General features: G+C 34.4%; 1 protein-coding gene across 3 annotated transcripts in view; it reads right to left on the bottom strand.

Annotated features, from left to right (window-relative positions):
* The window catches only part of CFAP47 (cilia and flagella associated protein 47), a 465,584-nt gene that overhangs the window by 235,727 nt on the left and 215,539 nt on the right, over positions 1–14,318 (bottom strand). For 2 of the 3 annotated variants that reach the window (NM_001304548.2, XM_017029452.2), the window contains exons 34-37: positions 11,536–11,633; positions 11,127–11,243; positions 4,238–4,372; positions 368–483 (exon numbers count right to left, since the gene is read on the bottom strand). In NM_001304548.2, the coding sequence (NP_001291477.1) occupies positions 368–483; positions 4,238–4,372; positions 11,127–11,243; positions 11,536–11,633 (466 nt within the window). Of the gene's footprint in view, positions 1–367; positions 484–4,237; positions 4,373–4,511; positions 5,031–11,126; positions 11,244–11,535; positions 11,634–14,318 lie in introns of those variants that run through there. The other variant, XM_017029453.2, reaches the window with a different exon arrangement.

Here is a 14,318-nt window from a genome sequence, read left to right as displayed (position 1 = left end):
AATAAAATATATATATCTTTAAATTATATACATACATACTTTTAGAATGCACTGGTTTCAGTTTCCTGCAGGAAACAGAATGGCAGTACACAACAAACCAACTTATAGTCTTGTTTCTATGACCCGTATGCATAAAAAACAAATTAAAATTAAATGCACATATAAAACAGCTGTTTTATGTTGTTAGAATTGTTTCAACAACTTTGGTGAGGAATTGTAGAAACATACGAATATTTGTCTGACTGTGAGTGACAATCGTTTCATTAAATATCTATCAATATTAAAATCAAAGTCACATTTTATAATTATAACATTAAATATTTGGGGTTGATATGTCTGATAATGTAAAATTAAAAAAAATACTTACCTTGGAGAAATTGTCACAACATTCCCTTTTTGGGAAAGGGAGAAGTCAGCAGCATCTCTTCCAACAATTCTAGCATTATACACTAAGTTTCGCGAGCTGGAATTTTTCAGTAGAATCTATGTAGAAGTAGAAGAGGATATAAGTAAGATTATAAAATTAAAAACTATGCAACTATATCATTTCTTATTTTTATCAAAGATAGCAATAGATTTTAGTCATAAATATACTTATTTATAATGAACACCAACTGGACAAAGCCAGAATTTGTATTTTAAAATAACAACTACACACACACACACACACACACACACACACACACACATACATACAGTTTAGCTGAAGTGGGCAAAGAGAAGGAACTTTCAACAAAGGGAATTACAAATGCAAAAGCATCTTATCACCAGTGATTTGAAGATCAGCATTTGCAGCTTGGATTTTATTTTTATTGCAAAGGAAAACCACTGGGGAATTTTAAAAAGGGAACTTATATATCCAATTTACAAAAAGGATACTCTGGCTGCTCAGTGTAGAAGGTATTATAAGGAGTATAGATTTAAAAACAGTTTCAGGCTGAATATAATGGTGGCCCAGTCTAGATGTGGTAGTTCAACGAAGGGTTGGCTGTCTCCTTCCTCCTGATCCAGAGACATGGGGAGCATTAGAAAATGAGTTGCTTTATTACAAAAGAGTACTTCTTGAAAAACGTGAGTACACAAAGTGTTTATGTAAAATATAATGGAGATTCAAAAAACAATCTTTAGGAAGACTGACAAAGATTTTCTTCTCAACCACACTCCAGTAAGGCTTGTCTGAACTCTTTTTTTAACTAGGCCCCACCTTTGGGCATGTCCTCAAGAGCCCAATTTTAGCAAGAATCCTGCTAAATCAGTTTAACCAGAATTCCACACCTTCAGTATCTAATCACCCTTGATATCTAACCAAATTCCTCATCTCCTGCCATTGCTCAGGTAATGTATGATCACCCTGGCCTTCCTTTAGCAAAAATCTTATATTGGTTTAGCCAGAATCCCCCCTTACCCATATGTTTCCTCTTAGTCATTTCCCACCCACTGATCTCCATCCTGCTCCTTGGCTGTAAATTCCTGCTTTTCCTTGTTTTATTTCGAGTTGAGCTCAATCTCTCTCCCCCACTGCAAAACTGCTTTGCAGTGGTCCCTATAACTATCATAATAGTCCTGAATAAAGTCTGCCTTACCGTTTTAACAGGTGTCATGAATATTTTTTTTTATTTAACAAGATGCCAAGGTATCACCAAAAGTTCTGACCCAGAGAATGGTGAGGATGGGGGAAAAGGATAATTGGTCAAATTAGAGTGAATAAAAGGTCACTGCAAATTATGAAGTTCAGGACCTATAGTCACAGATATTCGAAGAGTGAAAAAGTAGCAGTAGGTATGGTTATAGTGAGTCATAAGGAATATGATGAAAATCTGGTGAAAGATTAATTATTTTCTTAGTTCAATGGAAACTTTGGTAACCAATAGAACAAGTGTGTTGTTGATAAAGCATTTCCAACTTTAGTTTCTTTAAGGATTTGGAGGCCTCATGTTCTCAAATACTTAAAGACATCAATAATGGGGGCAAGACCCCCACTATAGTGTGGTACCCCACTGTGGTGTGGTAATCTTTTTGTAGGTACATACATTCATACAAATGTATGCATTTCAAATATTCATTAACAGACCAAGCGATTTTAAGTCCCAGAGAGCTAATTCCTATTGTTTTGGAAGGAAATGTTGCAAATTATAGTAGATTTGTTGTGAACTGTTTAGATCATAAGGAAGCCATTCATTGTCACTATATCATACATATCACACATATGACAAAATGGTATTGGACTCATCTGTGGTCAGACAGTCATACCACCCAACTCCAGGATTTCGTGTAGGGGTGATGAGGAGTAGATAGGAAGAAGAGCTAGCTGTTTAAGGGAACAAAAGAAAGTTTTAAAGTCTCAATTCCTTTTTTGCAATGACATTCTTTATTCTGCTTCTGTGTAAATTTTGTTTCAAAAGGAAAACAAAATTCAACTGCTTTTTGAATGTCTCGGAAAATCACTGCACTCTATGTTTTTTCACTGACCACTACTTTTTTGTACTTGTTCTAGCAGTCTATGTTTCTATTATTTGCCCATAGCTATAGAAATACTTTTTTACACTTTGGAAGGCCGAGGCGGGTGGATCACCTGAGGTCAGGAGTTCAAGACCAGCCTGGCCAACATGATGAAACTCCGTCTCTACTAAAAATACAAAAAATTAGCTGGGCATGGTGGCAGGCACCTGTACTCCCAGCTATTCAGGAGGCTGAGGCAGGAGAATCGCTTGAACCTGCGAAGGCAGAGGTTGCAGTGAGCCGAGATCGTGCCACTGCACTCCAGCCTGGGCAACAAGAGTGAAACTCCGTCTCAAAAAAAAAAAAAAAAAAAGAAAAGAAATACTTTCTCAATTTTGTAGCCATTTCTGGAGATTTTGCTATATTCTGTAACATTGATAGGGTTGGTGGTAAGAACGACTTTCTATGACTTAACGCACTGCCATTCATCGTGTTGATTCACAGGAGCAAAATACATAAAAGATTCTCAGCAATTTCCAAATCACTAATTTTCTTAAATAAAAGTTAAAATCAAAGCTTGTTGTAATTTGTTTTATCTTGCATATACATTTTATTTATTTCTTCTTTCAAAAATTTTTCTTACATTGTGAAAAATGAAAGGTATATTTGTATAATTTTATCTATAATCTTAGGTATGAGCATTATTTCTAGCAAAATAATAAAATGAGAAAATAAATCGTGTTCTATTTAAACATGATTTAATTTGGTTTTTAACATCATAATTTAAATTTATTTTTAAACGTTAGCTAGCATTAATATTAACTACTTAAAAACATCAATAACAATTAAGTGATATGAAGGAATACAATCATGTAGACAGAAATAGAGAATTGGTAATAATAGTTAACAGTAATAAATTATACTTAAATCAAATTTACACTCCTGTCTCCTGCAGGCCTAAGCAAAAAACTTTTAACTCTTCTGAAATGTTATTTTGAAGTCAAAAATTCAATATAATTATAGCTCAAGGCTTGTTATTTATCCAAAGCCCTTGGATATCATTGCAATTAGCAAATTATCATAGTAAATACTGAATTCTATGGAGTTTTATGTCTTTTTTTTTGACAAAAAAGGAAAGAAATAAAGTAAATAAAAGAGATTGAACCTCAGTATTTACTAACACAAACCAAACACAAAGAAGAGGAGGCTTTCTTTTCACTAAATTCAGTCCTCTACATTTTGAGATAAGAACCTGGGTTTTGTTTTTTTTTTTCTTCAATTTTTAACTAAATCCTTATCAACTGATGCTCACACCATCATGGAGGCTACAGTTATTTTCTCAAAGAAGTTACAATTACAGATCAAAGATCACCGTGGCATATCTTTTGAAGACCACATATGGATGAGTTTTGCATCAAAAATATAAAATTATCCTCCTTCCCAATCATATATTAAGAGAGACAAACATAAAAGAGCCTGAAAAAAGGAATAAACATGAATCTTATCAAAGCAGTAAATTAACTTGTATACAGAATAATATTATTTTAAATCAAATGAAAATGAGTAAGAAAAGAGTCATCATTTCATTGCAAGTGGTGATTACTCTTAAGCAAAAATTGCACCTTTCGCTCATCTAGACCTTTGGCTTAGAAGAAGCAACATTTGATAAGGCTTATTCACTTTTAATAAAATTATTCCTACAGACGCTTGCTGTTAATTTTGGGTTGGGAAAGAAATATCTAAAACCTCTCTTAATTGTGTAACTCCTTACACATTTTGACCCCAAAATTATCCTTACCTTATTCAGCACCGTGTCATGTAGAGTACATTCAAAGGACACCACCTTCTTAGGGAGATATGTAGGGAGTCTTTCATACATGTAGACACAAAGCATGAGCATCAGGATTGGATTTGGGTCACAGATGTCTGTGGCCTAGTTTCAAAGAAGATAAATCGAAATTAGAGGATGCATTAGTTAGAGTTCTACATAGGTAGAGAACCAATAGGATATATATCTGTATATATGCACATACACACACATACACACACACACACACACACACACACACACACACGCATATATATATATAAACGGGAATTTATTAGGAAGAATTGGCTGAACAATCACAAAGGCGAAGTCCCACAGTAGGCTGGCTACAAACTGCAGAATGACAGAAGCCAATAGGGGCTCCCAGGGAAGCCAGAAGCATGGCTCAGGCCAAGTCCCAAATCCCCCAAACCAGGGAAGCTACAGTGCAGGCCCCATTCTGAGGCCGAAGGCTGAAAGCCCAAAGGAGGCTGCTGGTGCAAGTCCTAGAGTCCAAAGGCTGAAAAACCTGGAATCAGATGTCCAAGGGCAGAAGGAGAAAAAAATGCATCCTGCTCCAAAGGGAGAAAGAGATCACGACAAAAATAAAAAAGAACAAACAAACAAAAAAACAAGCAAACTGAATATCCCCCTTCTTCTGTCTCTTTGTTCTGGCCACTGCCACAGCCAATCGGATGGTAACAACCCACACTGAGGGCATATCTTCCTTTCTCAGGCCACTGACTCCTGCATCCATCTCCTTTGGAAACACCCTCAGACACACCTAGAAACAAAACGTTGCCAGTCATCTTGGCATCCTTCAATCCAGTCAAGTTGACACCTAATATTAACCATCAAATAAGATAATAGATAAAAATATAAAAAGAGGAAAAGCATAGTAAATCAATTATTGAATTACTTTAAAACATTTAAAATATTTGTGATTGACAATGACACTGAAACATAGATACAGCAATAATACCGCTCTGAATCAGAAGAGCTTGACCTAAGTGTTAAAAAATAAATGTGTCCTAAGTAGAACACTGATCTAGTAACCTCAGACTCCGTAAAAGCTAGTCGGAACTCAGAAGAACACTACACTCTAGAAATTATGACTAATGTGACTATTACTCCTGAAGTTAAAGATGGCAAGAGATTTTCAAGCAAAGGCCCATAGAACCAATGGCACATTAAATAGGCCTTATAGAATGCTTGAACTTCAAATATGTATTTGATGTGAGGAAAAGAGTGTATTTTTTCAGAAAAGCAAATTACTATAGGATGAGGAGATAGAGAAGCATAGTGTTTGTTCAGTAAAGAACTACCATTTGGGTCACGCATAAGAAAAGATGGGACAATTAGTGAGAAAAAAGACTAAGGAGTGCCAGGCTACATTGTGGAGGTCTTAGACGGCAGGGTGAGGGACTTGATTTCTGAACAAGAAATAACATAATAAGAGCAACAATTCAGGCAGATCAGGTAGGGGGCAGTTGAAGAAGTACTTTTCCCAGAACAGATAAACAATAAGGCAGAGGTTGTAATTACTCTGATAAACAAAATACATTAGTAATGATTACTGGAGTATATTTGAGATAAAATCCAAAATTACAGCGCAATGGTATCAGGACAATAAACATAGCCAGAACGTAAGCTGAAGCCAAAAAGTAATGTCAGGAACAGAAGAAGATAGAAGCAGTGGGGAAAAGTTATTCACAGCACAAAAGTATTGGGGTTGGTGTGAGGGATTTGAAGACATAAAAAACACCATTAATAGACAAACAACTCTGTCAGTGTCAATATACAGGGAGCTCTCTGTACTTCCACAAAATGGAAATGAAGGTCTGCTATGACTTAATGGCACATATTCAAGTTAGCAACTGAACACGATCTGAGCCCGGCCTAGAAATGCAAATAGTGTGAAAGCCAAGGAGACCCAATGTGCTAGGTGGAACTAAGGCACTTGATTCTGAAATTTGGCAGCAGTTTTTAGAGAATGATGACAACCCCACTGGTGATCTGCTAGTCCACATTTCCTCATGCTCTCTTATTCTTCTCGGGAAAATAGAAGAGTTTGTTCTTTCTTGTTTTGTTAATTAGAAGTAAGGCTTACCAACGAAGGTGCCTGGGCAAAAGACTGACAGAAAGAAAACTGGCCTGCCTTAGCAGGGTAGAAAGCTAACTGTGAGTATAATTTGAGGAAGCCTTGGAAATATACCAGGACCATAAAGTTTCTCATCAGTATTTTGTGGTCTCACATTCTTTAAAGACGACGTTAGTAAATAGATGTAGAAAAATGATTTAAGATAAGAACAAAATAAAAAAATGCAGAGTTTAATTGTCACATCCACTTTTGAAGCCTAAGAAGGTAAATTTTTAAGTGAAGAATGTGTGGCTCTGCTGGGCCCTGTGTTTGGAATCAACCTATAGGGTATGATCCGAAGAGGGCTATCTAGGGTGACGGGAGGTGTGTTTACTGGGGAAAAGAGGAGTACTAATAGCAGAACACTCTGGGCTCAAGTCTGGGATGAATCAAAGTCTTTTGAACCATGTTTTAGTAAGTAACCCATAAAATGATATAAATAGCAATATAAAAATTATTTCAAAAGCTAAACTTTGAAAAATCCAGCAATTTGGCAAATTAAAAAATACGTTTTTAATGGGAAACTATATTTAATAAGACATTATACTGAAAAACCAAATAAAAGAGCATTCTTACCTTTCCTTATACATTTAAACAAAAGTGACCTAAAGCAATCAGACTTTTGTCAACCTTAGGCTAGAAAGCCAAATGTTAAATAAAGTAAGTTAGGTTTATTTAAAACTAAAATTTCATATGAAAGTACTTTTAAGGACATAATCATTATTTTCGCTACATAGATCTAACCAAAAATAACTTCAATTGTATTGGTCCTTTTTTTCTCCTTGATGACTATGTTTTCCTACTAGATTAACAAAATGCAGGAATGTAAACAAACAAAAAAATCATAAAAATCATAACAAAAAAATCAATAAATCTGGTAAATTAATTCAAGTCCTGCTATGACACAGTGCCATGCTCTTAAGACAATTGAATTTCCTGGGCCTCAGTTTCATCATCAGTAAATAGAAGGGGTGATAAGATCTTGAGTTTTATGCTGGATTTAATGTGCCATATCTTTTAAGGTATCACTAACTTTCAAATAAGACGCCAAATATAATTAGCAGTACATAATGATATACTATAATCCTACAAAGACAGCTATTGAATGCCTTCCCAACAATCATTTTCCCCTTTCTTCTTTACTAAGAACCTAACTTTTTGTGAATATTCTTTTTTTTTATTTTTAATCAACCACTGGTTAGCCACAAGAATAGGATTCAATTCCGGTCAATGATATGCAATGGGGAATATGCCATGGGGCCGCTGGGAAAGGTTTACCTTCTGGAAAAAGAGAAGCACAAGAAAAGACGCCACTCAGCCAGCCCCAGACAGAACTGTATGAAGGTGTTATGTGAGACTTCTGCAGAAATTTGGGAGTTATTTGTGCAGAGTCCTAAAACACTCTGTAGGTCAAGAATGGCTGAGCAAAACTGAATCTCTGATAACTTTGTTAAAAAACTGAACAATTATCCTTATAATCTTTGATTGTCTGGCTTTATCTTTTTATAAAATATTAAATTTCCTTATTTTTAAACCACTTTTACTCAAGAATTCTGTTCTTTAAAGCTGAAAATTTCCTAGTGATTGTGAAGGTTAATTTTAGGTGTCAATTTGACTGGATTGAGGGATACCTAAATGGCTGGTAAAGCATTGTTTCTGGGTGTCTGTGAGAGTGTTTTCAGAGGAGGTTGAAGCTGAGTCAGTGGACTGAGAGAGAAACATCTGCCCTCAATGTGGACAGACACCATCCAATCAGCTGGGGCTGGGACAAACAGGTAAGAAGAAGGAGGACTCTCTGCTTTCTCTCCCTTCCAGAGTGAGACACCTTTTCTCCTCCTGTCCTTGGACATCAGACTAGGTTCTTCAATTTTTAGACTCTGAAACTTGCACCAGTGCTCTCTGGGGGCTATCTGGCTTTTAGATTTGGACTAGGGGCTGCACCATTGGCTTCCCTGATTCTGAGGCTTCTGGACTGAGCGATGCCACCAGCTCTTCTGTGTTCCAGCTTGCAGGCAGCCTATCATGAGACTGCTCTGACTCTGTGTTCATGTGAGCCAATTCCCCCTAATAAATCCCCTCTCATATATCCTATTGTTTCTGTGTCTCTAGAGAACCCTAACAAGTGATTAAAAAAAAAAAAAAAAATTTAAGGACAAAATTAGAATATCTATTCACCCTTAGCTCCAATCACTACTCATTAAATTATGTGTACTAAAGCTCCATAAATGCTTATTATATGTATTTTGTTATCTATCTTTGCATGAGGGAACAAAACATGCATTCTACGCTGTGGTCAAACAATTCCATAGTATTTTTGCTTCAAATAAAAATCATGTCATGAAAAGGAGAATATGTAATATGTAATAACTGTATATTCCTACTGGCAGGATTCTCCAAAAAGACATAACATTACCCCAGCAACTTATGAAGCTAATTTTCAGGCTGCAATTAAGAACATAATAAAGAAGAAACTTAAGCATTAATAATTAAGTCCATTGCTGAATTTTACAGGATTCAATGGTGGACCAGTACAAGCACCAGCATTAATTCATTATGTATAAGTTCATTAGAGGGTGATGGTTTTAAATCTGCCATTTAGTGTGGTTGGTAAATCTGGGCTAATAAAGAGTTAGGGCATTGGAATTGGCTGATAAAGTTTTGGTCATTATCTGCTAAGCCGACTTTCAATTACTTCATTCATCAAATCTTGGACAACTTTTCTACATTTTTATCTAGTAGATACTTATTTTTAAATTATTTTTGACTATACAATAAAATAAATATATTGAGCCAACATATGTGAGGAAATCAAAAAGCAAAGGAGAGAGTCACAATGTATGGTTTTTCTAAACAAAGGTATTTTAAATTTCTTATGAACTCCTACCAAACTCTCAAGGGTCAGCTTAAACTCTAAGTGTTCTGTGCAAATTTTCCTGGTATCCTTTTTAGAGTGACTTCTTGTCTCCTTTGAGTCTCATAGCATATTATTTCTATGTCTATTGTGACATTCACTGTCGCTTTGCATTAGCCTTGTTTCATGTAACTTGTGATTATTAGTCTGCAACACCTTTGAAGGCATGAGTGTAGTTTTGTCACATCTGCACCCCTGAAGGATGTATCCAGTGTCTTTCATGAGGGAGGTTAAATAATTTGTTGAATTTATGGGAATTGTAATATTTTTATTCTTCAAAACCAAAGACTTTTATTAGAGTTTGTCCTTAAAATTCTACTATTAGAACTCTCTGACTAAAATTATTGATTGCAGTTTCCCTTTACAATTGTACCAAAAAAAAATAAATGAAAAGAAAATGAAATAAAAAGAATACAAATGTCAGGAATGGTACAAAGTGACATTAACATGCAAGTGACTTCAATACAAAGAAAAAAGTGAGCAATTATAAAACTCATTTCTCCAGCAGGTGTAAGATATCATTTTGGGCACTAGTATCATCAGTCTTTCTGGATCACAGAATGAAAAACTCAGAGTTAGTTATAATAGTCTTTCTCCAATGCCCTTCTTTTGTGGCTGGTCACCAACTCTAGCAAACCTCATGATTTTTCCTACATCAGCTTATTATGTTTAAATCCTAATTAAAATGATAAGAGTAGAGAAAGTAATTACTGTACTCCTTGACCAGTTCAAATTGCATTGCGACTGGTCTGCGTTCCCTGTCACCAGTTCCTTTCCTCTCGGTCCATCCTGACAATTGTTGTTGCAAGAGTAAAGGCCTTTTATCCCCCATAATGCCCACAGGATAAACTCCTGATTTTTTTATGCTGATATTCAATATCCTAGTATATGCCTATGTCTCTGTTTCCAATACCAAACTTCAACTGGGGAAACCTATTCACACAATTTCCTTAACGTATGTCACTTTTTCAAACTCTACATTCTGTTCATGTTACTTCCTCTGAGCAAACAACTTTCTTTCTTACCACTACCAATGCAAATCCAATTCACCCTTCCAGATGCCAATTAAATTCTGTCTCTTCCACACTGTCTTTGATGTATCAGTCTGCATCACATTGATCTCTTCCTTCATCTGAATTCTATACTTCATTTTTTTCATAGACCATTATTAACAATTAAATAAGTAGAGCATTATCTTTTAACAGGCAAATATCTTGATAATTTAATGAATTTATATATTCAAAGTCAGGAATCATTTATTTTACCATTTTATTGCCCCTAAGTAACAAACAAAAGGCTCATAAAATAGTAAGAATCCAATATATTTTTGATTATTGCTATTGAGGTCTTGATGTGAAAAGCCAAAAGGAATTACAACTTGAAGGTCAACATACAATTAAAACGTATATTGCCATTATGACCACTATACAAACATTTATTTTAATACTAAAGTGAAAATTTATTTTTGCTACTAAATTAGAAGATAATAATATGACATCTATATTTAAATAAATATGCTCTTTTAGTTCATTCTTAGATTTTGAGTAATGATTATAATTCACTCAATGTTTATTTTTGGGGTTTCAGGCACTTGGACTGGAAGTACTTTCCTATTATGCACAGCTGGATGTATATAATTATACAAATTTTAAAATATCCAGTCGATTTCTGTGGAGTCATATTTCAATTTCTACATTTTAGCAATGTCTCATCAAAAGCCTGTTTCAATTTAAATTTCAAAAATATGAACAAAGCAATATTATAAATGAGCAAGCTATCAAAAGAAATTTATAAAATGTTTGTAGAATGTTTAATATAAAGGCACCCACCTGTATTTCCACGTCAAAGTCAATTTCATAAAGAGTATTTACAATAATCAGGCAATTGTGCAGATACTCTTCAGGACTTTTTGGTCGTGTGTACATATTTATAAAATGAGACTCAATCTGTAAAAAAAAAAAAATCAAACCTTTTGGTAATGGAATAAAAAATTCTGTTTTTTAAGTGTTCTCTATAGTTAGGCAAAGAATCATTTAAATATTAATATTTGTCAGTAATAAATTATTGCAATCAAAATGCAAGAATAAACAAAAAGGTAGTGCTGGCCATGCAGATTCAGGTGTTTGACTTGAATGTAAGACATTCGAAATAATCTGTTTACAGAAAATACACTTCAAATTTTAATCACTAAGTTTTTTTAAATAATAGAAGATCATTATGCATAAAAACGACTCTTACCAAGAATGGGCAATAGGCTCCCAACTGTGTTGCAAAAACAAGACCATCTGAAAGGTCTTTGTCAAAATTTACTATCCATCTCTCAGAAGGGATAACATCTGTTTCAAAAAAGAGGGAGAGTAAATACAACAATAGTTTTACTTTATTAAAAGATACCTATGGAAATTTGAGCAATAGTAAAAGAAAATTTTGCTTCTGCTTGGGAAACAAAAAGTATATTATATTGGAAATAAAAACAAATTTTAAGTCTCAGAAGATTAATACTATGAGAGTTACCTGTAAGGCTTTATAAACAATTGCAAGCTGTCTTCTTTATTTCTATATGAGCTGCTTTGAAAAATACACTACAGTGTAATAATGGAATAGAAATTCAATGTTTCAAAATTACCCATTCTGTTGAGTACCTTGAGGTTCAAATGTTTAATCAATGATCATCAACATGGGTAAGGAGACTGAAAAGGCATGGAGTTACTTTTAACTTTAGAGTGCTAGTGCCAGTTTCTTTATTTCTTGCAGAAATTCATCCACGTGGCAGGAAAGTATGTGAAAGGAATTCAAGATTTATGGCTTAAAGAAACCAAAATTGACCTATAAAAGGCAATACAGGATGGAGGAGTAGTAAAAGGAATTCTCAATTACAGACATGATTACTACGCTGAGTCTGGAACAAAAAGAGGAAGTATCTGAATTTTAAGTGAATATCTGAAATACTGACCTATATTGGGTGGAGGTTAATTTTAAACAGTGGAAATAATCCCTATGTTGAATGCGACATTTTCTTTTTCAATAAGTTTCCAAATGGCCTAGATTCTTCATGGTGTGAGACAATTTCTTGTCTGAAAACAAGGGGCAAATGGTGATCTTTATAAATTCCCTCAAATCTCTCTACTCCCATTTTCTGTGAAGAAGAAAAACCATGACATGATACACCCATGACATGTATATTAGCTTCAAAACCGGGATTGCTTTACACCTGGAATTGGAAGACTTAATTATCTCTTGAATCACAGATGTCCTGGACACTTCACAGACAATGTCCAGTACTTTTTCATCTGAGAAGCTATGACATTGAACATTTCTATAGGATTTCTATAGCATATTGTCACAAAATCAGTCTAGTAAACACAGATCACTAAGGATTTTCAACTAATGCATAGCAAACAACTTCTGTATTTTTCAAAGTATTATTTCCTGATCAAAACTTATAAATAACATTTTTGATATAAGATTCAATGTAATCGAATTAATGATTTTAAATTCAGTTGGCTGAATAATGATAACCTACATGTGCTTCTCTTTTTTGTCCAGCTTTGATGTATAATTGGCAAATAAAGAGTATATGTATATAGAACATAAATTGTGTTTTGATATAAGTATACCTTGTGTAGTGATTCCCAAAATCAAGCTAATTAACATATTCATCACTTCACATAGTCACTATTTTGTGTATATGTATGTGGTGAGAACCTAAGATGTACTCTCTTACCTAAGTAAAATGTGCTTCTCTGAATGTATATTTGCCACCCATAGCTATCAATAAAAGCAAAATATTTCACTTTTGTAGTTAATATTTATTTTTCTCTGGACTGGAAGCAATGATAACTTTTGATCTGAAAAAGATAATTTACTAGCCTTTTACACTGATAGAGAATCAGTCAGTTAGCAGTGGACATAGACTGTATCCACCAGATAGCACATCCTTGTCTTGTACAGACATTAGAGGAGGGACAGAAATTGTCTTGAAGGAGCTTAATATCTTGTTGCAGGAAAATCACATCCATAACAGGAAAACAATGAATTAAAAAAAAATCCTCCAAGCAGAAGTCAATGAATACATAACAATACAGCAACAACTAACTGTTATCCTGTTATTTCCCACTCCACCAATCACAACTCAGGACCACAGAATTCATTATGACACCCGCCCCACCTTATTTTGTTAACAGTGAAAAATCTCAATCTCATTATCTACAATATTTTTATGTATTGGTTAAACCCTAGTATGTATATAAAGTGCTTTCAGAATTGCAAAGCCATACCCCTGTCAGAAACTAGAGTAAGGTGTGTATGTATAGTTCTTTACACCTTTAGTCTTAGACTACACAGTTATATTTCTTTACCATTAAATAAGCTCATTTCTTTTTCATTACCATCAGTGAGGTTGTCCAACATTTGTAACCCAGTTATATTCATTTGCCACAGCCTGCATTTTGTCCTTAATTACTTACATATGTTGGTTGATTTTATAAAATTACTTACACTAGCATTCACTCTTTGTGGTACACACCTATAGGAACTTGAGGAATACATTTTCACGTACCTGCCATCACATTTCCATAAAGAAAAGTGTGATCACCCCCAAAATTCCAACGTGCTGCACCTTTGTAGTCAATCCCTACCGTCATCTGTTAGCACCTGGCAAACACTGATGTGTTTTTAATCTCAATAACTTCACCTTTACCAAAATGCCATAAAAGTTGAATCAAACAATATCAATATGTAGTCTTGTGGGGTCTTGTTGTTTTGGCTTCTTTTACTTAGTGAAATTCATTTAAGATGCACCTATGTTGTGTGAATCAATAGTCGTTGTTGTTTTCATTGTTGAGTAGTACTGTATTTGATGGATGTCACAGAGATGAGGTATTCATTCACCAATTGAAGGGCATTTGGTTTGTCTTCAGTTTAGAGGCAATTAGGAAAATCTGCTATAAATTATCTCATGTAGTGCTTATTGTGATCAGCAATTCTTTTTTTAAAAAAGTTTTATTTCCATAGGTTTTGGG

This window comes from Homo sapiens, chromosome X, assembly GCF_000001405.40.
Source record: "Homo sapiens chromosome X, GRCh38.p14 Primary Assembly".
In the NCBI taxonomy this organism is placed as follows: Eukaryota; Metazoa; Chordata; class Mammalia; order Primates; family Hominidae; genus Homo; species Homo sapiens.
The sequence above is the reverse complement of the archived record's forward strand: the minus strand, read 5'-3'. Positions and strand labels throughout refer to the sequence as shown.